Source organism: Homo sapiens, chromosome 1 (genome assembly GCF_000001405.40).
Source record: "Homo sapiens chromosome 1, GRCh38.p14 Primary Assembly".
Lineage (NCBI taxonomy): Eukaryota > Metazoa > Chordata > Mammalia > Primates > Hominidae > Homo > Homo sapiens.
Genome location: NC_000001.11, coordinates 223,044,945 through 223,064,151, shown reverse-complemented (window position 1 = coordinate 223,064,151; position 19,207 = coordinate 223,044,945). Strand labels below are relative to the sequence as shown.

General features: G+C 45.0%; 1 long non-coding RNA gene across 1 annotated transcript, besides 1 other annotated feature; it reads right to left on the bottom strand.

The window, feature by feature from the left end:
- Nucleotides 1-419: 419 nt before the first annotated feature.
- LOC124904520 (uncharacterized) lies at nt 420-3,847 on the bottom strand. Its single transcript, XR_007066890.1, has 2 exons — nt 3,644-3,847; nt 420-1,039 (listed from the first exon to the last, which is right to left on the bottom strand). It is a non-coding gene; the product is annotated as an uncharacterized LOC124904520 (long non-coding RNA).
- Nucleotides 10,921-11,421: an enhancer, noted in NCBI's record as "H3K4me1 hESC enhancer chr1:223226073-223226573 (GRCh37/hg19 assembly coordinates)". NCBI's record gives its function as "activates a minimal SCP1, AML or CMV promoter by ChIP-STARR-seq in primed H9 embryonic stem cells {active_cell/tissue: H9 hESC(primed)}" and the evidence as "EXISTENCE:reporter gene assay evidence [ECO:0000049][PMID:30033119]".

Sequence of the window (19,207 nt, the reverse complement as noted above, 5' to 3'; positions counted from 1 at the left end):
ATGAAGCAACAAAAATAATAGTATTGGCAGGGCCTGGTGGCTCATCCCTGTAATCCCAGCACTTTGGGAGGCTTAGGTAGGAAGGTCACTTGAGCCTAGGAGTTTGAGACCTGCCTGAGAAACCTAGTGAAGCCCTAGCCCTACCAAAAATTTAAAAAATTAGCCAGGCATGGTGGTGCATGCATGTAGTCCCAGCTACTTGGGAGGCTGAGGTGGGAGGATTGTGTGAGACTGGAAAGTCAAAGCTGCAGTCAGCCAAGATCATGCCACTGCACTCTGGCCTGGGTGACAGAGCGAAACTCTGTCTCAAAAATAATAATAATAATATCCCATATGTATAAAAATATTGTAAAACAAAATGCCATATGCCCATGACTGGCAATCACCATTACCCTCTGGATATCATCCATGAATCATTGTCCATTCACCCACACATATTTATTAAGCACCTACCATATGCCCTGTCCTGACACCCTGATAGAAACAAGTCAAGCAGACAAGTCCCTGTCCTCAAGGAGCTTACATTCTAGAATAGGGAGACACACAATAAACAACAAAACAAATCAATACAATTGCTATGATAAAAATGAAGTCAGGCAAGGAGATATGGAGAAGAAGAGCTATTTTAAATAAGGTTGTCACCAACCTGATGAGGTGACTCTGAGCAGAAACTTGAGAACTTTGCAGATGGGTCCATGTGGATAAATGTCGGGAGAAGAGCATTGAATCAGGCAGATAAACCAGCAAGTGCTCAAGGTGGCAGCAGCATGGGATATCTGAGGAACAGCCAAGAGGCCAGCGTGGCTATGCCATCACAGAGGGACACTGTCCTACAGGGCCTTTGAGTGAGTGGGGAGACCAGCTCAGGACTTTGATTTTGCAGTCACTCATGCTGGCTGTGTGTGGAGGGGAAATGACAGCCGAAGCTGAGAAGGTATTATAGGAATCCAGGAGAGAGATGAAGAGGCTGGCACTTGAGTCAAAGGTAGAGCCAACAGATGACAAAGTGAATGACTTTCAGACTTGATCTTCATTTAGTCTAGAAAGGGACAGAAGACATAAAAACCAAGTCAGTCTCTTGACTCATTTCTGCTTGCTAGTGCAAAATCAGCCCCTATTATCATGAGTGGGGCCCATGGTGATGTTCTGGAAAGACATCAATGATTTTTATTCAATTTCATAACCAATCTATTAAATCACAGCAGAAACAAAGGTAGGGTACTATCATATTGCAAATAAATTTACTCCCTGAGTTCAGTCAAGAAGCAGCTAGAAGCCCACCTGTGGATCTGACAGCAAAAATTACTGCAAAGGACCCAGGCCAAAAATTGATGTTCTCATCCTGCAATGCAGTCGGAGAGCCCAAGTAGTCTCTACATCGCTCCTAGGGATGCTGAAGACAACTCTCTGTGAAGAGAACTTTTGAGAGACTCTGAAATGGTGACTGTCACAAAAAGCAGACCACTTCAACTCAAAAGTTCTGTTTACAGATTAGGCCTGAATCCAAGCAAAAAACCCAGCCCAGTCCTACCCATATACGGTCTCAGGACAGCCTGGGCCAGGGGAATGGGCAGCGGGTCAGCAGGCAAGATATTTAGATTCTGGTCATAGGTCTGTTTTGATCTAATGCTGTGACCCAGTTTCTCCATCTATAATAGTAGTAACAATATCTTCCCTTTCCTCCCTTGCTGGGAGACAAAGGCCCCAGCTATACCCAAGACACTATTGCAATGTTTAGCAGGGATCTAACAACGATGATTCAATTGCTGTCTCAATACAGGAAAGACAGGATTGCATGGGGTCAGATGCAATTACTTTACCTTGCACAAGAGAAGCGCTTTCATTTTCAAAGCACTTTCTAACATTATTATTGACAAAAAGGCAAGAATGCCCACTGTCATTACCTCTATTTAACATTGTACTAGAAGACACAGGAAAAGTAAAAGAGTTTCTACAAGCAGATGCTAGCCGGGCACAGTGACTCATGCCTGTAATCCCAGCACTTTGGGAAGCCAAGGCAGGCAGATCACTAGGTCAGGAGTTTGAGACCAGCCTGGCCAACATGGTGAAATCCCGTCTCTACAAAAATACAAAAATTAGCCAGTTGTGGTGGTATGCACCTGTAATCCTAGCTACTGGGGAGGCTGAGGCATGAGAATCACTTGAACCTGGGAGGTGGAGGTTGCAGTGAGCTGAGATCACACCACTGCAATCCAGCCTGGGCAAATGAGCGAGACTCCATCTCAAACAAAAACAAAAACAAAAACAAAACAAAACTTCTGAGACCAGACACAGTGGCTCACAGTTGTAATCCCAGTACTTTGAGCAGCCGAGGCAGGTGAATTGCCTGAGCCCAGGAGTTTGAGACCAGCCTGGGCAACATAGTAAGAACTCGTCTCTGCAAAAAATTTAAAAAATTAGCTGGGTGGAGTGACACATAGTTGTAGTCCCAACTACTTAGGAGGCTGAGGTGGGAGGATTGCTTGAACCCGGGAGGTTGAGGCTGCAGTGAGCCATGATCGTGCCATTGCACTCCAGCCTTGGTGACAGAGCAAGGCTCTGTCTCAAAAATTAATTAATTAATTAATTAATTAATTATATAGAATTAAGAACTTCTCATCAAATGCACCACTAGGAGCATGAAAATGCAAACCACAGACTGGGAGAAGATATTAGCAATATGAATAATTGATAAAACATTTATATCCAAAAGATAGGAAGAATGACTAAAACTCAATACTAAAAAGGCAAGCACATTCATTTAAAAAGGGGTTTTAATGCAGGATGGAGTATATTTACTGATAATGGGAAGGGGACATTCTTCTAAGGTGATGGAAGTGCTCTTAATCTTGATCTGGGCAATAGCTACACTGAAATAAACATATTCAAACACTTGGGCTGTACACTTAGGATTTGTGCATTTTCCACACTTTACTGTATATATACTACACCTCAATAAAATACATTCTGCCTCAACAAAAAGCAAATAATAATAAGAATAAATGTCAAAAAAAAAAACCCTACTTCCTGAATGAGATTGCCCACACAGTGTTTTAAGGCATACTCATGCTGCATGGGAAGTTATTAGGCACATCAGGTAAAAGGAGGTCCATGTTTAAATAAGTTAGGGGGAAAACTGGGATCAACAAAGATAAATATTTTTTATTGCAAGACTTCTTAGAGCTTTTTTACATTAATGTTTTTGTAAATGATCATAGGAAAGGAGGAGAGTAGGCAAAGCTTCCTGATGGTACCTGATCTCTTAGAGCATGTGTAACACAGTTGTTCGGCAAAGCGTGGTTTTGGAGAAGGTGATGTGAGATACTACGATTACAAGTATAACTCAGGTTTCAAGAAATCAAGGGAATCATTATTTTGTCAGTGTGACAGTTGGGTTCCTCTGGGAGGCAGACTCTAAGAGGAAGTTAGAAATGCAAACGATTCACTGGGGTAATGCCTGCAAAAGGTACAGATTGTGATGGAGGGAGGAGACGGAGAAGAAAGGAGGATTGGGTAGGAAAAGCCTCAGACTCAAATGCAACCCCAAGAAAGCCTTGGCCAGCCCAAGGGAGTACTCCAACAAAAAACTGCCCTTAGTGGAGTCCCAAGTTGGACAGAAGGAACCACGCCCTAAGACCCCTACCCTGTTCTGTCCTTGGCTGGGGTCTTCCTGGGAAGAGCCTGGCCTCGGCTAAATGTTGCACCTGGGGGAATGACAGCTCACTGCACTTCTCATGGCTGATTGGCAAGTTCCTTCTTGGAGAGAGATCCAGTGGACACATTTCCATGGTTGTTGCAGGAAGCCTACAAGCTCTTCATGAAAGATGAAATTTCCCACTATGAAATTCTACAAAGAAAGCATTACATGAACCTCTTATAAGGAGCAGTGAAAAATACAGGAAGAGATACAGGAAGAGACATTGGAGCAAGGCATGATTTGGTGGTTTATTGTAGTGTTTGTTTTTGGTTTTCTAATCCATTTTGTGAGTATATTGAGTAAAGGATTTCCTTGCTATTAGCTAGTGTATATCCTGTAAATTTTACATTAATCTGATAAAGTCCATCTTTCCTACAGACCCTTCAGCACCCATAAGCACTCCTACAAATACAAAACTATGCAAAGAGGACTTTTTCTTTTTTTGAGATGGAGTCTCCCACTGTTGTCCTGGCTGGAGTGCAGTGGCACAATCTCAGCTCACTGCAACCTCTACTTCCCAGGTTCAACCGATTCTCCTGCCTCAGCCTCCCGAGTAGTTGGGATTACATGCTCCCGCCACCACGCCCAGCTAATTTTTGTATTTCTAGTAGAGATGGGGTTTCACTATGTTGGCCAGGCTGGTCTCGAATGCCTGGCCTTGTGATTCACCCACCTCGGCCTCCCGAAGTACTAAGATTACAGGTGTGTGCCACTGCGCCCAGCCGCAAGGAGGACTCAAATAGCAGGGCAGCTGGCCACATAGGATCTGGGTCAACAGTGGCTTGCTGATATTGCAGCTGGGAGTAAATAAGTCCATGGGAGCCTCATGGGTTCTCCAAGCCCTGCACAGTCTCCAGTCTCCGCCACACATACACATAGGATCACTTACTGTCTGCAGTTTTCCAAAGGAAACATCCAGAGTCCAACCCTCTCACCTCTGAGTTCCATCCTCTGTCCTGATGAAATTTGAATGAAATCCATGATCTAAGTCAAATTACCTATGACAACCCATCAATTATCAGTGCTATGCACCTAATTTGGAGAAACAACTGGTATTGAAGAGGACATAAGTCTAATGTTAATCAAGCATGGACTCATGGAGAACCAGGACAGCCACTTTGTTCTTCCTGAGTCCTTAAAGCTTTTGTTATTAAAAGTTCTGCATTCCATGACTCATCATGGGAAAGACAAAATAATCCAAATTAAATATATTGGTGTGGTAACTTATAAATTGCTAAAATAGCTTATAACCAATGTTTGGTTTGTTAACCCATATTCCTGGGAAAAACAATCAAAGCTTCAGGTACATTTGGTTACCTGATGGGCCATTTAAACATTTTATAAAAGGATTTCATTCAATTGTTATTTTCGGTGCATGTTTTCTAGTTGTATAAAAGCTCTTCCGTGCAAGAGTGCTGATATTATGTAATAGATTATTATGCTACATGTATGAAGCATAATAATATAATAATAATAAGATGTAGTAGATTACTGTGTTACAGTATATTTTCACCAGGTAAAGAAAGCTTTTTGTGATTCACTGAGGACAGTCAACCCCTTCATCATCTAGAACCTGAAAATTGCATCTTCTGAAAACATCAGAGAAAGACTGTCCTTGCCATTCACACTGCAACAAAACTTTAGGATCTTGAAACTTGGGTTCATAATCGCACAACTGAGAAGGGTCCCTCCACGCTCTTGGAACTATACACCCAGTGGAAACTTTAAGGTAAAGCTAACCAAGGAAGTCTCTCCCCAGACGAATATGGCAACCTTGATGTGAATGGCTTTTCCTAAGATCGTGGATGAAGACTTCTACTGTCATGAGACTCTTATCTTTGAAAATTTTTTCCTTGCTTATGCCTCTGTGAACAATAGAAATGAAGAGGGTGTCTGCTGCATGCACTTATGGGGTATACTTTTATTTGTGAAGGATTTTGCAGCCAGCCTTATACATGGATAACCTTATACTTTGATAGACAAAAGATGAAGGCCCGATGTGGGGAACTTTAATGGTACATACGTTGCCTCATAGTCAGTCAGAAACAGTACATTGGTTCACTCCTCTTAACCCGTATCATGGATTAAAGAGAACATTGCCAGGAGGCCTTCACTCTTCTAGAAGGGCATCATTTGTTAGGTCCTTTTTCCATGTTTTTGAATAAAAGAGGTGATGATCAGAGATGTATCCCTTACAATAGGCTCTATAGCAGATTTTACTGTAAAGGCTGTAGTTACACAGAAGACTTTCAATTCTCTTGTGAAAGTTAAGGTAAGTAATAGAACTGGCTAGACAGAAAAGTGTCTATGTATCTGCTGGCACTTCTGGCCTAGGGAGATATACATAAGGTATTACAGAGATTCCGTTGTAGGGGATTAACAAAAAGACCACTTAGTTAAGCGAGTGGACTGTTTAGCTTGCTCTTTGATCTATTTGATTTTAGGTGGTTTGGTTTTTGGGAACCCTGGGTAAGGAGCATATTCCAAACTCTTGTTATTATCCTGTAGATAGTCATAATAACAGTCTCTCTGGTGCTCTGTGTTCTCTCAAAGGTTTTAATGCTTGCATGCAGCCAACTCTAGAATGTTAAATGGTCTCTATTCAACTGTAATGACAAAAGCTGAAAGAAATGTGTGACCAGGAGGACACTGTAAGCTATGAATGACATGCTGAGAAGGGAAACTGAAAATGGTGGTAACCAAGAGTGGCGCTAAAGCCCTAAGTTTTGGTCGCACTCTCACCTAAGTGAGAACCTGGCCAAAAAGGGGGAATTTTTAAAAATAAAATTATGGGAGGCCATTGTTTTGGACTGAGCTCATGCACTAGGCCTCAACAGACCAAATCAAACAAAGCTGGAGTCACTCATACTAAAAATGACATAATCAAACTAAGACTTTAAGGAAACACATAGATCCTAGGCCAGAACAGACCAGGTTTTGTTTTTCTTCTGTAAACAAGATGTTCCAGCATAAGGAGGTACCCTCTACACAGTCCTTGTTCCTACTTTCGCAAAACTCACTGTTCTACTGTTTCCTAGTGGGTTTCAAGACCAAACAAGTACATTTACCATGGTGATAGTAACATCAAAGACAAAAGTTTTGGTCAGTCTCTCAAAATCGAGAAAATGAACAAAATGGGGGAATTGTCAAAGCAAACTAAATATGGCCTGAGAAGGACTCCCTGCTTCTGTATTTGAGTCCTCATGAATGAACTTCAACCTAATAGGCAGACAAGATTGAAACCCTAATTTAGGACTAGGTACCTGTAACAACTGCTGAGTCTTGGTCAATCCCAGCAGCCATACTTCAATCAGTCATACGCTGCTGAGTATTCAAACTGTGTTCAAATAAGGCAAACATCAACCTGTAACCAACCTAACTGTTTCTGTACCTCACCTCTGATTTCTGTACATCACTTCCCTTTTTTTGTCTATAGATTTGTTCTGACCATGAGGCATCCCTGGAGTCTGTGCGAATCTGCTGTGATTCTGAAGGCTGCCCGATTGCTGAATCACTCATTGCTCAATTAAACTCCCTTAAATTTAATTCAGCTGAGGTTTTTCTTTTAACACATTTCTGGACACCACTGAAAGAGAAAAATCCCTGAGGGGTTTTTGAGAAGAAAACAAAAACATAACAAGAAGTGTACCACAAAGAAACCAGAAACTTACTGGCATAAGACTTCCTATCTCTAAGATGGGACAGTAACATAGTTAATCTTTAAATTTTCTTAGGAAAACTGAATTCCCCAGAATTCAACACCTAGCAAAAGACCATTCTTTTTCTTTTCTTTTCTTTTCTTTTCTTTTGAGACCGAGCTTCACTCTCATTGCCCAGACTGGAGTGCAATGGCATGATCTCAGCTCACTGCAACCTCCGCCTCCCAGATTCAAGTTATTCTGCCTCAGCCTCCCGAGTAGCTTGGATTACAGGCATGTGCCACCATGTCTGGCTAATTTTGTATTTTTAGTAGAGATGGGGTTTCTCCACATTGGTCAGGCTGGTCTTGAACTCCCGACCACAGGTGATCTGCCCACCTCAGCTTCCCAAAGTGCTGGGATTACAGGCATAAAACACCTTGCTGGCCTAAAAGACCATTCTTATGCAAAATAAAAACTTTAAACAAATAAGCACTCGAAAAGTTTTTCACTGGAAAAGTAACATTTCTAAGAGTAAATAGAGGATATCTTCCAATTTATAGAAAAGTAAATTAAAAATGGATAAAGAAATGGCATATAGTAAAGATAAGAAAGTATGGGTAGGCATGGCTAACTGTAAAAATAGTATTAGAATGTCTAATATAGCTGGTAAGAAAGAACCCTTAAAAGAAGCATAAAGAAAAAATGAGAATGATAGAAAAATAAGGAAATACATAAATTATAGACAAATAAATAGGGCATTTGGAATGGTAACTCAGCAGGCTGAGTAGAATTTCCTTAATTACAGAGGCAAGGGTGTGAAATGTTTAGAAGAATTTATTCTGTTAAATGTAGAACGAATGGACCATGAATCCAAGAACATGTGATTTTCATTTCAACACCAAATTACCTAATATACTCCCCAAACAATATGGTTTGCTTATTAGATTTCAAGGATTAATCCAAGGTAGGCTCCCAAATGTACACTTTGGAAAAACTGCATATTAAGGAAAATCCAATAAACTACAAGTGTTCCTTTCTTGGCACAAGAAATAGGAAAACATCCATGGCTAGAAGGCACCAAATAAACTAAAGTCTCCATGAATTCCACCACCCATAAATAGTCAGTGTTCCCATTTGGACGTCTTTCCTTCAGGGTGTCTTCAGGGTACATGAGGTCCACCCATGCACACATCTGACCAGGCTGAGATCCCGCCAGGGGCACTGGGCCACATGATTTCTCTTCTGTGGATGGGTGGTCACCTTCTGCATCTGCAAGGACATGTGCTGACTGTCCACAATACCTCTACTCCCCTGAAGTGTTTGTCTAAGGTCCAGGAGAGTAGTTGCCTCTTGGGGTGGCAATGAGCAGGTATTGACCAGAAGGGGCAGGTGGGAGCCTTCCTGAGAGTTGGCATTGTTGGATGTCTTGATCTGGGCAATGACCACTTGGGCATAAACACCTGTAAAATGTCATTGAGCTGTATACTTAGGATTCATACACTTTACTGTATGTGAGTGACTACCAAAAAAACACAAACAAACAAACAAACAAAAAGCAGAAAAAGGAAAGAGAAGGGGAAGAGACGAATGGGAGGTGGCAAGTAAAGGCTCTCTTGAAGAGCCTTTTGCTGTAAAGGGGAGCAAAGAAATGGGTCAGTGGCTGGAGGCAGATGTAAGATCAAGGGAAAGTTGATGAACATGGGAGCTATTCCAGGATGTTTCTGTGCAATCGGAATGTTTCAGAAGAGAGGGGATATTGATTATGAAGAATAGAGTGGTATAATTGCTGAGCAGGGAGTCCCTTAGAGAATTGCAGCTCTTGGTCTTTGATGGACAGTTCTTCCATAACAACAGGAAGGAAGGCTGAGAAGTAGGGCATAAATGAAGGAAGGGTCTAGACAGGATGGTGAGAGCATGTGGCATCCTCTTCTGATTGTTTCTCATTTCTCATTTGGTAATAAGCTGTCCACTGAGAACGAGCATGGTGAAGGAGGCGTGAAGGAATGAGAGAAGCAGAGGTGTGACATAATGCTCTGGAGAGTGGGAAAGTGAATGGACTGGGCTTGCCAGGCAGCACTCAGGGTCCACCTGAGGTTAATGGTCATGAACCTGAGATGAGACTGCTCTGCATGGTAGGTGCCTTCTTCAGTCCTGTGCAGTTGCTGCACAGAGTAGGCTGGGATTTGGCTTTCACCAGATGACTACCACGCAAGGCAGCAAGGGAGTTTCAGGTGTTTGGAAAGGAGGGATTCTACTGATGGGCCATGAAACCTCAGCTGGAAAAGGAGGTAACTGAACACAAAGGTGGGTGATGGCTGTGAAAAGATGGTAGAAGGAATGGGCTGTAATCCCAGTACAGCCACAAAGAGTAGGTACTAGACGGAGTGATCAGGAAAGTGGTTGGAGAGAGATACAACTTTCAGTTGAGATGCAATTGAGATTATGGAGGGGGCGCTTTAATTGGTAATAAATGCCAGGGTCTAGGATATGCCCACTGGAGTGTGGGACTGAAGCTCAGTGGAGGCCAATATGAGTAAGGAGAGAAGTTCAAGGAAAAGAAAGGTCACGGTCTGAGAAAAATCCTCCCAGTGCTCAATCAGGAGCGGTGTTGAGATTGATGGTAATCTAGGCACTAAACATCAAGGAATGAAAGGGGAAAGCTCAGGGCATATGTAAATTACTGTTAGGGGCATTTCAGAAAGTCTCTCTAATGACACAAGATTAACTTCTAGGTGTTTTAGGGAGAAGCAGTAGCAGAGTGAAGAAAAGAAGACCCCCACCTCTCCTCTAGGTTTAGCAGGACGATCCCATTGAGTAGAAAAGATTCACCATATGAGGGAGTTTTAGGGAACCGGTGATCTCGGGGGAGAGCAGGTTTCCATCAGAACAAGGAGACAAAGGGACTGCTCAGAGAAGAACATCTGGGATTTGAGGAGTGCTGGATGGTGATTCCCGGAAGGCACAGTGTTGAAAGTGTGGGAGATGGAGTCAGGGATTGTATAGTGCTTTATGGGGACAAGAGTCCTGGGCTGAGGGATGTCCTGGGAGCCACTGCCCTCTGAAGTCCTGCTCCACTCCCAGAATCTGGCCTAGGAAGCAACTCCCTCTCAGCGACCCTGGGAGGACCCCCAAACCCCTGCCCCTGCTCCAGCTTGCAGACCTTCCCCAACCCCACCAGGCTCCACCTCCCACATCACCCCCATTCCTGCAGCTCTTCCCTCCATTCCCTCCACGCCTGGGAGAATGCCAGGCAATCCTTCTGTATTAGTCCGTTCTCACATTGCTATAAAGAAATACCTGAGACTGGGTAATTTATAAAGGAAAGAGGCGTAATTGACTCATAGTTCAGCATGGTTCAGTCGGGGGGCCTCGGGAAACTTACAATCATGGTGGAAGGTGAAGGGCAAGCAAGCCACCTTCTTCACAAGGTGGCAGGAAGGATAAGTGCTGAGCAAAGGTGGGAAGAGCCCCTTATAAAACCATCAGATCTCGTGAGAACTCACTCACTATCATGAGAATAGCATGGAGGAAACCACCCCATGATCCAATTACCTCCACCTGGTCTCTCCATTGACACACGGGGATTATGGGGATTAAATTCAAGATGAGATTTTGGATGGGGCACAGCCAAACCGTATCACTTCCCTTGTGGCCTTGAGCCATAGGCTGCTGCTCTCAGGAGCGTGGGTCAGGAGCCTGACTCACCAAATCCCTCTCACACCAGGATAGAGTCAACTAGAGAAGATTCCATTGCCCAATGCCTCTGAGGTTGACTGGCATAAAAACAACAGAAATCCAGTATTAAAACCTTGTTTTAAGCATGACGATGGACAACTCACTTATCTCAGTTTCCTTCTCTGTAAAATGAGGTGATTTCCAAGGTCTTTTCAGTTCTGATCTTCCAAGCCAGTGAGTCCCAGGACCAGCCTGTTTGGGTGCTGTGGACACAGCCTGCTTCAGTGGATGCCTGGTGCCTGGCCGCTTGGGACTCACAGCCCCAGGATCAAAGCCCACAGCCAACAAGTTTGAAAAACAGTTTATAAATTAAGAACGGAAGGCAAACGAGCATTTGTGAGCAAGGCAGTACGCTGGGGCGGACACTGGGGCCTGTGCTGTGGACAGAGCCAGGCACAGGACAGAAGTGGTGCCCCAGAGAGTGGCCGGCCTGCAGTGAGCTCAGAACACACACCAGAGCCAGCGGCCTCGCCTGCCAGGTGGGGAGGAAGTGTGAGAAGAAACTCAATGGGGACTTTATTGGGTGTTGGGCTTAGGAACTGTTTTCATTTGGGATCTAGTCATAAATTAATCCTACACATAAGCGTTCCCAAGGAGAGAACCCAGGAAAAATATTTCAAATTTAGGAGAGATGGAATAAATCTCTCTGATTCCAAGGTCCAGCAGAGTTGTTCTTGCTCTCAGCCTCCACCTCTCTTTCTCTGTCTGTCTGTCTGTCTGTCTGTCTCACTCTCCGGAGTGATGCTCAGGGCCTGAAGACAGGACCCATTCTTCCAGGAGGGAGAAGAGGAGGGAGCAGGAAGGGTGGTGGTGATCAAGGCCAGGGAAGGCAGATGAAGCTGTGTGATTTGGCTACACTTGCTGGGCCTTGGTCCCTGCCCAGACCTTCAAAAATAGAACCTGCCAGGCCTGTGGAAGGAAGAGGACAAATGTAGAAACGCACATAAACAAATTTTAAAGAGAAACATGAGAGAGAACAGGCGATCCTGGGAAGGCGGCTGCTGTGCGGTGACTCCCTCCCACTCTGGGTCCCCCTCTCACAGGGCCCAGACAGCACCAAACACAGTCCCAACAGTGCATGAAAGAGGTGTAAAGAGGAGTACTGTCAGCCAGGCGGCTTGAGGTAGAAGTGGAAGTGGAAGAATTTTATGAGTGGCATGGGACCCCAACCGGGGGGCTCTGCCCTGCCTCTAGTGGAAAAACTCTGCAGAGACCCTAAGCCACTGCCCACAGGGGTCACTCCCACTTTCTCTTTGGGCTACAAGAGGCATAGGGGGCCTTCCCTTCCACCCTTACACATGAGGGGTTTCTGCCTGAGACCCATGCTTTAGAAGGCCCTCCCTGGTCCTCCTCAGGCCACAGTCCTCACCAGGAGAAGAGTCCATAGGACCAACAGGATGTTCCTGCTAGAACCCAGGCTCTGTTTTCTAGAAACTAGACCACGTTTGGTGGACTCAGGGCCCCCAAATTCTCTATCCAAAGGGCCCCCAAGTCAGCTTCCAGGCCCTGCATGAGACTCTTCTCCAGGTCTGTCTCTCCCAAGGGATGGCCAAAAAGCAGTATTTGTGCAGATGTGAGCAGAGCTGAGACATGTGGGCCCAGGGTGCTGGACAGAGAGGCTGGGAAGATAAAGGGGGGCTGTGGCCAGTGCTTCTCGCGCCTCTGGCTTCTGACACAGAACTCCAGAGAATCGACAAGTCTAACCTCCAATCTGGCTCTCCAGGTTGTTACAAAAACATAGTTGAAGCTGGGCATGGTGACTCATATCTGTAATCCCAGCACTTTGGGAGGCTGAGGCGGGCAGATCACCTGAGGTCAGGAGTTCAAGACCAGCCTGGCCAAAATGGTGAAGCCCCATTCCTAGAAAAATACAAAAATTAGCCAGGCATGATGGCGGGTGCCTGTAATCCCAGCTACTAGGGAGGCTGAGGTGGGAGAATCACTTGAACCCTGGAGGCAGAGGTTGCAGTGAGCTGAGATTGCGCCACTGCACTCCAGCCTGGGCAACAGGGCAAGACTCCATCTCAAAAGAAAAAGCATATTGGAGCTAGGTGCAGCGGCTCACGTGTGTAATCCCAGAGATTTGGGAGGCCAAAACCAGAGGATTGCTTGAGGCCAGGGTTTTAAGACCAGCCTGGGCAACATAGCGAGACCCCATCTCTAAAAAAGTAAAAATTTAAAAATTACCCTGGTTTAATGGCACGCTCCTATAGTTCCAGCTACTTGGGAGGCTGAGGTGGGAGGATCTCATGAGCTCAGAAGGTCGAGGCTGCAGTAAGCTGTGACCACACCACTAAACTCCAGCCTGGGTGACAGAGCAAGACCCTGTTTTTTTTGTTTTCTTGTTTTTTTAAGTGTATTTGTGAAGGATGGAGAATAGAACACATTATATTTAATGGTTTGTTGGCTTCTTATAACTTTTAAATATTTAGACATATGGTATGGGGGCCCCTCTGTGAGCCCTTGACCTAAATCCCATAGGGTAAAGCAAGTCTGCTAGAAATGAGTAAAAGAAGGGCTGTTTCTAGAGAGTTGGCGCAACCCTCTGTTAAAAGAAAAACTTAGCAGAATTAAATTTAAAGGAGTTTAGTTGAGCAATGAACGATTCGTGAATCAGGCAGCCCCCGCGAATCACAGCAGATTCACACAGACTCCAGGGATGCCTCATAGTCAGAACAAATTCATAGACAAAAAAAGGGAAGTGACATACAGAAATTGGAGGTGCGGCTGGCGCGGTGGCTCACGCCTGTAATCCCAGCACTTTGGGAGGCCGAGGGAGGCAGATCACGAGGGTCGGGAGATCAAGACCATCCTGGCTAACACAGTGAAACCCCGTCTCCACTGAAAATACAAAAAATTAGCCGGGCGTGGTGGCGGGTGCCTGTAGTCCCAGCTACTCGGGAGGCTGAGGCTGCAGAATGGCACAAACCCGGGAGGCGGAGGCTTGCAGTGGGCCGAGATTGCGCCACTGCACTTCAGTCTGGGCGACAGAGTGAGACTCCGTCTCAAAAAAAAAAAAAAAAAAGATATTGGAGGTGAACTACAGAAATAGCTGGATTGGTTACAGGTTGGCCTTTGCCTTACTTGAACACAGTTTGAACACTCAGTGGTGTATGAGTGGTTGAAGTATGGCCGCTGGGATTGGCCAAGACTCAGCAGTTCTTACAGGTGCATACTCCTAAGTTAGGTACTCAATGTTGTCTACCTATTAAGTTACAGTTTGTCCACAAGGACTCAAATACAGAAGCATGGAGTCCTTCTCAGGCCACCCCTTTGCGTTGGTTACTCACGAGCTCACTCAAAATCAGACTAAGAGAAAGCATATTAGCATGTGACCAGAGCAGACACAAATCTGATGGTGTCATCGTGTGCTTAAAACCCTTCAATGCCCCTGGCTTCCAGGTGACATGCCTTTGTGTGGCATTCAAGACCCTTTCCATCCTCCTTGTCTCCTCAAATTCACCCCTCACTTTCCACCTACACCCACCCAATGTTCCCCACAACAGTCCTGTCCCCTCTTCCTCCCACGGTCCCACATTTTGGTCCTCCACTACTACTTCTTCACAGGCCACTTCCTATTTGTCCTTCCTGAGACAGCTGAAATGTCACCTCCTTCACAGTGTCTTTCCTGAGTCGGACACCCCTCTCCGGTTCAGAGCACTGCTCACCCAGTCCTCCAGCGGTTTCTTGGTCTTTCTCTCTCATAGACTGTGGGCATCTCGGGAAGATCCATGTCCTCTCTGCACCGCTAGGCTGAGGGCCTGCTTGATAAAGGAACAGACACATAAATCAGTGGAGGTCTCTGACCTACCGTGTAGGCAATGTCCTTCCTCTCATAGCATTTGGGAACTAAGATTTCTCAGGGAAGAAAGATTCTGTTCCTAATGCACAGGAAGCTGCCTAGTCGAGATGTTGGGGGTTCTGGAATGTTCTTGGGGTCTATCCAGGGGACTTACAGGCACCAAAGGGATCTCCATTGATTGACACAAGCTGGCTATGCCTGGAGTACATCATGGATCCTCCACGCTGAGGAGCACAGCAAGACGCCAGGTCTTTTGGATGCAGAGCTGGTCCCTGCCAGTCTCTCCTAACGTGTCTTACCCAGACCACAGTCGCACTCCTGTGGCCTCAGAAACAGACTCTCTAGTGTGGAAGGGGGCAAGATCTGTTAGGCTTAACCTGAGACAGTGCCATATTATGGTCAGAAAGCATGTTCCACATCCACAGCCTTGTGACCATTCCCAGAACCCCCTGTTCCACAGGGCGGGGACCTCAGATATTCAAGTCCCATTGTGGAGATGCATGAAACAGGTAGGAATGCAGAAAAATGAAAGAGAGCAGTGCTGGCCAGGCTCGGTGGCTCACTCCTGTAATCCCAGCACTTTAGGAGGCCGAGGTGGGCAGATCATGAGGTCAAAAGTTCGAGACCAGCCTGACTAAAATGGTGAAACCTTGTCTCTACTAAAAATACAAAAATTAGCCAGGGATGGTGGCGCGCACCTGTAGTCCCAGCTACTTGGGAGACTGAGGCAGGAGAATTGCTTGAACCTGGAAGACAGAGGTTGTGGTAAGCCAAGATTGAGCCACTGCACTCCAGCCTGGTGACAGAGCGAGACTCTGTCTCAAATTAATAAATAAAATAAAAATTAAAAAAAAATAAAAAAAAAATAAAAAGCATGGAGGGTATTCATCCTTTACAGATTGTAAAGCACTAGTCATTATTCTATGTTCCAAAGAACAGAAATTGGCTCTGGTTAACATAGTAGAGAAAGGTCAGTAGCTCACAGAATCATGGAAAGCCCAGAAAACATGCCCAGGCAGGAAATAGTTGGGAGCAGGGGAATGGTGTCAGCTGGAATGTTGCTACAGCAGCCAGCAGGACCATGCTAACTGTCCTGGTGACACTGCCGGGCACCAGCTGCTGAGGCATCAGACCGTCCACTTGGCCACAGTCACCATTTTAAAAAGTCTGTAACTAACCTGGAGGCTTGGTTTACTTCTTCCAAATTCAGAAACAGTGGCAGGAATGTCCAATTGGCTGTGTTTAGGGGACATCCTCACAGTCAAGCTGCCTGGAGTTGAGAAAAGAATATCTAGTCCTGTGATGGTTCCTATTAGGGGTCAACTTGATTGGATTGAAGGATGCCTAGATAGCTGGTAAAGTATTGTTTCTGGGTGTGTCTGTGAGGGTGTTGCCAGAGGGTACTGACATTTGAGTCAGTGGACTGGGAGAGGCGGACCCACCCTCAGTGAGGGTGGGCACCATCCAATTGGCTGCTACCTCAACTAGAACAAAGCAGGCAGAAGAAGGTGGGATAGGCTGGCTTGCTGGGTCTTCTGGCTGCTTTCTTTCTCCCGTGCTGGATGCTTCCTCCTGTTCCTCCTGCCCTTGAACATCAGCCTCCAGGTTCTTCGGCCTTAGGATTCTTGGACTTGCAACAGTGGTTTGCTGGGGGCTCTTGGGCCTTCGGCCACAGACTGAAGCCTGCACTGTCAGCTTCTCTGCTTTTGAAGCTTTTGGACTCATACTGAGCCATTAGTGGCTTCTTTCTTCCCCAGCTTCCAGACAGCCTGCCACGGGACTTCGCCTAGTGATCATGTGAGCCAATTCTCCCTGATAAACTCCCTTTCATATATACATATATCCTACTAGTTCTGTCTCTCTGGAGAACCCTAATACAAGTCCCATTGAGCTTTTGTAAGGAGCAGCAGTGTCACCTCCCAAACCTTAGGATTTCCCCCATGCAGGATAGGTGCTCAGATGATGGACAGCCAAAGTCATAAATGCCCACTGTATTCATTTCTGAAGACTGCCATAACTAGGTACCACAAACTGGGTACTTAAAACCAAAACCAAATAAATTTATCATCTCACAATTCTTAAGTCCAAAGTTAAGGTGTCAACAGGGCCATACTTCCTCTGATACCTATAGGGCAACTCTTCTTTTCCTCTTCCTAGTTTCTGGTGGTTTATTGGCAATCTTTGACATCCCTTGGCTTGTACCTGCATCACTCCAATCTTCGGTCTTCAGAGATGGTTCTCCCCATGTCTCTGTCTTCTTGTAAGGACAACAGTCACGTGGAGTAGGGGTCCACTCTACTCCAGTATGACTTCATCTTAATATAACTAATTACATCTGCAATGATTCTGTTTCCCATAAGATCACATTTTGAGATACTGAGAGTTAGAACTTCAATATATCATTTTGACCCACTAATATGGTTTGGCTGTGTCCCCACCCAAATCTCATCTTGAATTGTAGCTCCCATAATTCTCAAGTGTCATATGAGGGAGGGACCGAATAGAAGGTAATTGAATCACGCGGACAGGTTTTTCCCTTGTTGTTCTCGTGATAGTGAATAAATCTCATGAGATCTGCTGGTTTTATAAAAAGGAGTTCCCCTGCACAGGCTCTCTTGCCTGCCTCCGTGTAGGACATGCCTTTGCTCCTCCTTTGCCTTCTGCCATGATTGTGAGGCCTCCCCAGTCATGTGGAGCTGTGACTCCGTTAAACCTCTTTTTCTTTATAAATTACCCAGCCTCGGGTATGTCTTTATTAGCAGAGTGAGAACGAACTAACACACCCACCAACAAAAACTTCCTGTTCTGTGTTTTTTAAACTTTTCTCATCCATGTCCCATTTTGACAATCAGAAAAGCTCACACCTTCCTGTCATTTTTTTAGAGAAATGTTAAGAGATTCAGTGACAACCTCAATAGTAAGTTGGAATTCTTCTCCTAGATCACTTTTGTAAACTATAATCACTGCCCCCTTCAATGACACACACTCTGCTCCTGTTAGAAGCAAACTCCCTCTTAAGTAAACAAAGCCCAGTATGAGTCCAAAGGACAAAACCAGAACCTGACCCATAACTTCTGTTTTTGCCCAATGTTCTTTCATAACACACCACAGCCAATGACAGAAACCACAGTCGCACCAACATCTCTCAGAGACAGGAAAGTAAGAGCGAAAGAGCTATAAAACTGATTCACTGGCTGAATTCTTCCTCAAGCTAAAGAGGTTCTCCCACAGCCTCAGTGTCCTTCCTCAACCCAACAGGCAGCTCTTTCTATCCAAGACAGGAGGCATCTCTAGTTTCCTGGAACTGAGGGCAAGTTCTGATATAATCTGCCTTGTAGCCAGGGACCCTCCCCATATCAGGAAGTTGTCTCTTTCCCAGACCCTACTTAATAGCCCCTAATGTGCAACTGTCTCTGTCATTGGAAGCGGCTTCCAAGGAACTCAGAAACTTTTTCGTGGGAGCACAAAGCGGGAAGGATCCCAGTTAGCAGACCAAGCACTGATGCTTTCATCTGCTGCCAAGTGAACTGGCCTTGAACTAGGTCTCCTAATCTTTGACATGCATCTCCTCATCTGTCAAAGGTCTTACCTTTGACATATTTATAGACTATAAAAGACTTCAAACAACATAAAATGCTAAATGAAAATAAGGTATCCTTATTGTTGCTGCTGTTATTGAATTTAGCACAAGAATTTAAAAGGACATGAGTAAGGCAGAGGGGTCCTTGGCTGGCATTTGACAGATCTCCATAGTGCTCCCCACAGTGCATCTTGATGTAAATTTATTTATATTTATCCTGCTGATGATTCATTATTTCCTGAATCTCAGAATTCATGTCTTTCATCAGTTTGGGAGCATTCTCAGAAAAAGCAAAAATATTGAACATTGTCCCTCTCCCAATGTCTATTGTCTCTTTCTGGTACTCCAGTTATATGTATGTTTGATCATTTTATAATATCCTCCATGTTATTAACTTCTTTTTCATATTTTCCATCTCCTTTTTTTTTTTTTTTTTTTTTTTTTTGAGACAGGACCTTACTCTCTTGCCCAGGCTGCAGTGCAGTGGTGTGATCATGGCTCACTGCAGCCTCGACCTCCTGGTCTCAAGTGATCCTCACAAGGAGGAGCAAAGTCATGTCCTACATGGAGGCAGACAAGACAGCCTGTGCAGAGGAACTCCCTTTTATAAAACCATCAAATCTTGTGAGACTCATTCACTATCATGAGAACAGCATGGGAAAAACCCATCCCAAAGATTGAATTACCTCCCACTGGGTCCCTCCCACGATACATGGGAAGGGACCCAGGAACTACAGGCACATGACACCATG